At 45.5% G+C, this 7050-nt stretch overlaps 1 protein-coding gene across 11 annotated transcripts in view, besides 2 other annotated features; it reads right to left on the bottom strand.

The window, feature by feature from the left end:
- FMNL3 (formin like 3) overlaps positions 1-7050 on the bottom strand; it is a 70907-nt gene that overhangs the window by 63280 nt on the left and 577 nt on the right. For 4 of the 11 annotated variants that reach the window (XM_047429860.1, XM_011538972.3, XM_011538970.3 and 1 more), the window contains exon 1: positions 5907-6243. The exons of 6 other annotated variants lie outside the window; for them this stretch is intronic. In XM_047429860.1, the coding sequence (XP_047285816.1) occupies positions 5907-6089 (183 nt within the window). In that variant the 5' untranslated portion in view covers positions 6090-6243. Of the gene's footprint in view, positions 1-5906; positions 6244-6329; positions 6751-7050 lie in introns of those variants that run through there. One more of the 11 variants, XM_011538971.3, reaches the window with a different exon arrangement.
- Positions 4138-4227: an enhancer, noted in NCBI's record as "active region_6327". NCBI's record gives its function as "activates an Ori minimal core promoter by ATAC-STARR-seq in GM12878 lymphoblastoid cells {active_cell/tissue: GM12878}" and the evidence as "EXISTENCE:reporter gene assay evidence [ECO:0000049][PMID:35858748]".
- Positions 4248-4337: an enhancer, noted in NCBI's record as "active region_6328". NCBI's record gives its function as "activates an Ori minimal core promoter by ATAC-STARR-seq in GM12878 lymphoblastoid cells {active_cell/tissue: GM12878}" and the evidence as "EXISTENCE:reporter gene assay evidence [ECO:0000049][PMID:35858748]".

Genomic DNA, 7050 nt, shown 5'->3' on the forward strand with positions numbered 1-7050 from the left:
AACACTTAAAATGAAATGTTCAGAGAACTGCAAAGTAAAACAAGATACCATGTCTAATTAATCAAACTGGCAAAGGCTTTAAAAACATTAATTCACTCAGTAACGGTTAGCTTACAGAGAAAGGTAGACACATATACTATCAGTGGAAAAGGTAACTGATAAAACTTTTTCAGAAGATATATGTCTCAAACGCCTTTAAAAACCATATACCCTTTGGCCCAATAATTCCACTTCTAGCAATTTATCCTAAGGAAATAATCAGAGATGGACACAAATATTTATGCACAGGATGTTCAACACAGTGTTATTTGTAACAGCAAAAAAAAGATTTTAGGCTGGGCGTGGTGCTCACGCCTGTAATCCCAGCACTTTGGGAGGCCGAGGCAGGTGGATCACGAGGTCAGGAGATTGAGACCATCCTGGCTAACATGGTGAAACCCCATCTCTACTAAAAACACAAAAAATTAGCCAGGCGTGGTGGCGGGCGCCTGTAGTCCCAGCTACTCGGGAAGCTAAGGCAGAAGAATGGTGTGAACCCGGGAGGCAGAGCTTGTAGTGAGCCGAGATCGAGCCACTGCACTCCAGCCTGGGCGACAGAGTGAGAATCCGTCTCAAAAAAAAAAAAAAAAAAAGAGATTTTAAAAGGGTAAGATACGCTGGACGCAGTGGCTCATGCCTATAATCCCAAAACTTTGGGAGGCCGAGGCAGGTGGGTCGCGTGAGGTCAGGAGTTTGAGATCAGCCTGGCCAACGTGGCAAAAACCCATCTCTAATGAAACTACAAAAATTAGCCAGGCATGGTGGCATGCACCTGTAATCCCAGTTACTCAGGAGGTTGAGGCAGAAGAATTGCTTGAACCCAGGAAGCAGAGGTTACAGTGAGCCGAGATCGCACCATTGCACTCCAACCTGGGCGACACAGCAAGACTCCACCTCAAAAAAAAAAAAAAAAAAAAAGGCAACATAAGGCAGTGATAAAATATTATAGAGTACTATGCAGTAATGAAATCATGATACTGGGCCGGGCGCAGTGGCTCACACCTGTAATCCCAGCACTTTGGGAGGCCGAGGTGGGTAGATCTAAGGTCAGAAGTTTGAGACCAGCCTGGCCAACATGGTGAAACCCCATCTCTACTAAAAATACAAAAAAATTAGCCAGGCGTGGTGGTGGGCGTCTGTAATCCCAGCTACTTGGGAGGCTGAGGCAGGAGAATTGCTTGAACCCAGGAGATGGAGGTTGCAGTGAGCCGAGATCGGGCCATTGCACTCCAGCCCGGGCAACAGAGTGAGACTCCATCTCAAAAAAAAAAAAAAAAAGAAATAATGATACTGAATAATATATAAGCAAATGAGAAAATGCTTAAAATAGTAAATGAACAAATCAGTTTACAAAACAATATACACAGTATGATCCCAATTGTTAAAAAATATATATACACGTACATCAAAGTGTTAATAGTAGATGGTGAGATTATAGGTTTTATTATCTTCTTTACACTTTTCAGTAAGTTCCAAATTTACCTAATAAATATTTATTATTTTCATAATCAGGAGAAAAGAAGCTATTCTCAATCCTCTTCCATCCTTTTAAAAACCTTCTCATACATTATTCCCTCTTTTAAAAACCATTTGGAAACAAAAACAGTTATATCCTACAATCTAGCAAGTTCTATTTTGAGTTTCTATCCCAAGGAAAACTCTAAATATTGAAAATACTTTGTACACCAAGATGTTCATCACAGCATTGTTTATGATGACAAACAGAAGCAAAAAACCTAAATATCTAAGAAAAGGTGTATGGGTAAGCAAACAAAGGTACCTTCACTTGATGGACCATCGTACAAGCATTTAAATGTTTACAGGCCAGGCTTGGTGGCTCTTGCCTGTAATCCCAGCACTTTGGGAGGCCGAGGTGGGCAGATCACTTGAGGCCAGGGGTTCGAGACCAGCCTGGCCAACACATGGTGAAACCCCGTCTCTACTAAAAACACAAAAATTAGCCAGGCGTGGTGGCAGGCGCCTGTCATCCCAGCTATTTGGGAGGCGAGGCAGGAGAATCGCTTGAACCCAGGAGGCAGAGGTTGCAGTGAGCAGAGATTGTACCACTGCATTCCAGCCTGGGTGACAGAGTAAGACTGTCTCAAAAACAAAAACAAACCACTTACAATTACTAGCCTGGGAAAACTAATGAAATAACAAAAGCAAAAAACAAACAAAAAAACTGGATAAAAAACATATATACTGGCAGGGCATGGTGGCTCATGCCTAAAATCCCAATACTTTGGGTGACTGAGGTGGGAGAATCACTTGAGCCTAGGAGTTTGAAACCAATGTGGGCAACAAAGCAAGACCCCATCTCTACAAAAAATGAAAAAATTAGCCAGGCATGGTGGCGCACGCCTGTGGTCTAGCTACTCAGGAGGCTGAGGCAGGAGGATCACTCAAGCCTGGGAGTTCAAAGCTGCAGTGAGGTGCAGTGAGCCATGATCATGTCACTGCACTCCACCATGGGTGACAGAGCGAGACTCTGTCTTAAATAAATAAATCAAATATCAAAACATTGTATAAAACTCTATGCAGAGAAAAAAATATAAAGGTTTTAAAGCACATCAGCTGCATTTGGTAAAGGAACTAAGAAAATATTTGCATTTGGTAAAGAAACTAGAGAAAATATGGATGTTTTTCTTTAACCTAAATCTTTAGTCTTTTCTTCTTTCTGAATTGTCCCATACTTTCTTTAGAGAATAAGTATTACTTTAAGAGGAAAACAAAACAAAACAAAACAAAAAAACGCTGAATCTCCCTCTGGGCAATGAAAACATTCCCAAATGACAGAGTCCACTCCATCAGTCCCTTCCCCACCACACACAGGCTTCCCCCAGACTAAGGCAGGGTCATATCAGAAGGTCAAGGGAATAAGACTCCTCTCTGTGGTCTAGGGTCTTCTCTGTGGGGTCTCTGAACAAGAAGAAGGTTCCTCTGACCAGCTGCTGTGAAAGGCCCTTTCCCTGCCCCCTCCCAAGTTCTATTCTAGCCTGAACTAATTCACCACAATCCTGAGGGCTGGGAAAAAAATTTCCACCATGGTGATTTGGAACCTGATATTTAGTCCAAGTTTTTCCCAGCCCATTTCTGTGTCAAAGGAGGCCCCTCAAAGCCTCTTAGACAACTAGCACCCAGGCCAGCTTAGCTCCCACATCAATGCTACACTTACAGAAAAACCCCCAAGTTGTCAGTCATCACCAGGGAAATGTGAGAGGAGAAACTGCAGCAGGGATAGCTCCTGTCACACAACCCTACCCTTATGCCCTGAAAGCCTCCTCCTAAGGGATATACAGGGCTTTTTCTGGCATCAGAACTTTTAGACTCCATGTCAAGTCTGTAGTAAATCAACAAAGAGAAAAATCAGAGTACAATCACAACAAAGACAGACAGCTATCCTTTCAAAGACCTTAGAGCCCTCTGCCTCCCCTCTCTATGGAAAGTCCAGTACTGGCCAGAATACTAGCTTCTGAGCAACTGAGTTTGGGTAGTAATCTAGTTTGGACCAAAACACACTGGGACTGTATCAGACCAGAGATTGGCTCTCATTCTGGTATTCATAAAGAGGAGCTCCATTAATTGCCCCAACCCCAAACTTCTCAATACCCAACAGAATGGGAAGTGCTACTCAGATAGGGGGTAAGGAAGGATGCCAAGAAGCAGTGTAACACAGCAGCTTCACAACCTTTTTCCCATCGAGGCACACCTAGAAAATATTACTGTTTCTACAGTACATGGGGTAGAAGCTGATCCCATCCAGAGGGGACTGACTGGGAACTTTAGCTGCCCCTAGGAATAAGGGGATCAGTATTCCAGCACATCTGTGATCCATCTGCAGCACACTAGTAGGGAAGCCCTGAATTAAGGCACTGGGCTGGGTTAGGATTCTTGGAATCAATGTTCTCATCAAATCTTCTCATAGCCCTCATCTCAAGCTCTTCAACTTTGGCTGACAGATCATGTGTCTAGAACAGAAGGCTGGGAGCCTGTGGTCTTGACTCAGCACTGATACAACTTCCCCAGCGAGGATACTCTTCAGGGGGTTTTCCACAGACACACTTGGGGCTAAGGAAGCCCTCCAGCTTACAGCAGCAGCCATATTCCGAGACTGGATATACACAACAGGGTAATTGGTTTTATCAGATTTCTAAACTTTAAAACCCCTTTTTCGGAACACAAGTGATCTCAGATCTGAGTCACTGCTGAGAGGTACAAACTTAAAAGCTACCATTTACTAAGCATATAGTAGATGCCAGACTCTGCTAAGTATTTGACTTCCAATTTCATTAAATCCACACAACAACCTCATGTGGCAAATGCTATTATTATCCCCATGTATAAGAGAAGACTGGGAATCAGATTAAGTAACTTGCTTGAGGTCAAACACTCTTCTAACCAAAGACTATGGATGAAACAGTTGAATCCACTCTGACTTCAAAGTCCATAAGCTTAACCAGGACACCACTATGTCACCTCAACAAACCTCCCAAATAGCTTTTTCAAAAAACCTAACCAATTATAATGAAGCTGACAATCTAGGAAAGAAAAAGGTGAGAAAGGAACAGTTTATCTGACTGTTTCACACCATCAACAAAAATAAGCTAATCTGGCCAGGCACAGTGGCTCATGCCTGTAATCCCAGCACTTTGGGAGGCCAAGGCGGGTGGATCACCTGAGGTCAGGAGTTCGAGACCAGCCTGGCCAACATGGCGAAACCCCATCTCTACTAAAAACACAAAAATTAGCCAGGCTTAGTGGCACGCGCCTGTAATCCCAGCTACTGGGGAGGCTGAAGCAGGAGAACTGCTTGAACCCGGGAGGCTGAGTTTGCAGTGAGCTGAGATCGTGCTGCCGCACTCCAGCCTGGATGACAGAGCCAAACTCCATCTCAAAAAAAAAAAAAAAAAAAAAAAAAAGAAGCTAATCTATAATCTATATTGAGTACTTACTGGGTGCCAAGCACCTTATATACAGGGGCTCACCTAATTCTCACAATCTCACCAGAACAGGATTACCTCCATTTTACAGATGAGGAAGAAGTCTAGGCTCAGAGAAGTTAAGATACTTGCTAAGCCAGAGTCCTTGATTTTTCTACTACACTATGCTTCTCCTGACTGTTCAGGAAATACCCCTAAGCCTGTACCTGGGTCAAACACCTGACTCAGTCAGTACTGTTCCCAAAGCATGGTAGAAAGGGTACCTTTCAGAACAGTGGACACAGGGACACTTAAGAGCCCCCAGAGAAGAACTCAAATCCCCAAGAAGGGATGATTTCCCTGTATTGGAAAACTGAGGTGAAATCCCGTCTCCTGAGACAACTAACTAGCTCTGGCCTGCCCTGTTCCAACCCTTCATCAGCAGCAGCTCAGGCACACAGAAACAAGACCAAAACAAAAGGCATGAGGAAACAAATCAAAATTTTATACAGAAAGGAAGGCATGCAAGTGGGTGGTCCAGTCCCCCATTTGACCTGGGTTCTCCTGGTGCTCTGGTGTCCTGGTTAACTAGGACATCACGTGCATTTTGTGAATATTAAGCCATTAGTTTGCTAACTAAACGAAATGGTCAACCAAGGGCCAATGAGAACATGATGGATTCTGGTTCTGAGCTCTCACAAAAAATGGCCTGGCAGCTCCCACCTAAGGCAGCCTCCCACCCAATCCACCTCACCCCATCCCTTTCTCCCCAGTTTCTATAGCTAACTTGTGTCAGCTTGCTGGGGATTTTCACACCCCCACCAGAGTGCAGATCCCCTCCCACTCTTTTCCCCAACAGTTGGGCTCTTGTTCTCAAGGCCACTAAGTCCCAGTCTCTCCTCCTCAGCCTGTGAGATGGTCACAGCACATTGGTAATCACTGACTCACCCGATCCCCCGAGGAGGCTGGGGGAAATGCAGAGGGCCACAGGATGTATGGCCCACATCCCTTTGGCCCTTCGCAGAGCTGGCGGGCAGAGAGGTGCCAGCGACACCACTTCCCCTTGGAACACTGTGGACCCTCTTTGAGCCAGCTCTGGTGCCAGTGGGCTGATGTCAGATTCTCTACCATCGGAGAGGCCAAGATCTCTAGACAGCTCCACTGTTGCCAACAGATCTAATCTCCTTATTCCAAGGCAGATGAAATCCAATAAGGCTGCTAAGTCCACAACTTATCCCTCCTGATGGGCAGAGGCAAAGGCAGAGTCGGCCATACCAACAATAACGCCAGAATTATTACTGCTTCTTAGAAAACTCTTTGGGGAAGTGAGAACTATTTCCCCAAATTTCTCAAAGATTAACCCCGGTTTACCAATGTTTTCGCTCTGCAAAACTTCATTTTCAGCGCAAACATATTTTCTGGCTCCTTCCCGGTGATACCAGCTCAGAACCTCTCGCTTCATAGAGCCACTGACATCAATGTCCAATTCCCACACCAAAGAAGAATCCCAAAGTCAGCTCTAAAAACCCATTTATACAGACCGTTTGAAACCCACAGAAAGACTAAAAAGCACAGGCTAAACAACACAAACCAGTCACTATGGCTTAACGTGAAAAGGGGGGGAGGAGGCGGGATGGTTTGTGTATTGTTTCACTTGGAGAAATACCCCAGTGAAATGGTTTATCCACATGTTCAGCCTTTCAGGCAAATCCACTCTAACTTAGCAGGATGCCTGCAGGCCGTTCTGAAAATAAGCAGAATGGCATACTCTTTATTCCACCCCCTTCAGGAGCTGCCAGCCGCCTCCCCATCCCCCTCTCCCCCCAAACATCTGGTCTGGGCTGGGAGTGGGACCCACTCCCTGGGAAGCCTCCATGTTCGCAGGAGAGGCGGTGTCCCCACTCAGGGAAGCCTGCTGAGGAGCGAGCCGGCCGCGCTTCTGAATTCCCCCCACCCGCGAGAGGCTCCGGGCTGAGAATGCTAGGGACGGGGAGCCTGGCGAAGAAGCGGGGAAACGGGAAAAGGGCAGCAGAAGGGGGAGGAAGAAGGAGGGAGAAGCCTGGTTCCTAGGACGGTCCCGAACTGGGGACTT

The sequence above is a fragment of the Homo sapiens genome, chromosome 12 (assembly GCF_000001405.40).
Source record: "Homo sapiens chromosome 12, GRCh38.p14 Primary Assembly".
NCBI lineage: Eukaryota > Metazoa > Chordata > Mammalia > Primates > Hominidae > Homo > Homo sapiens.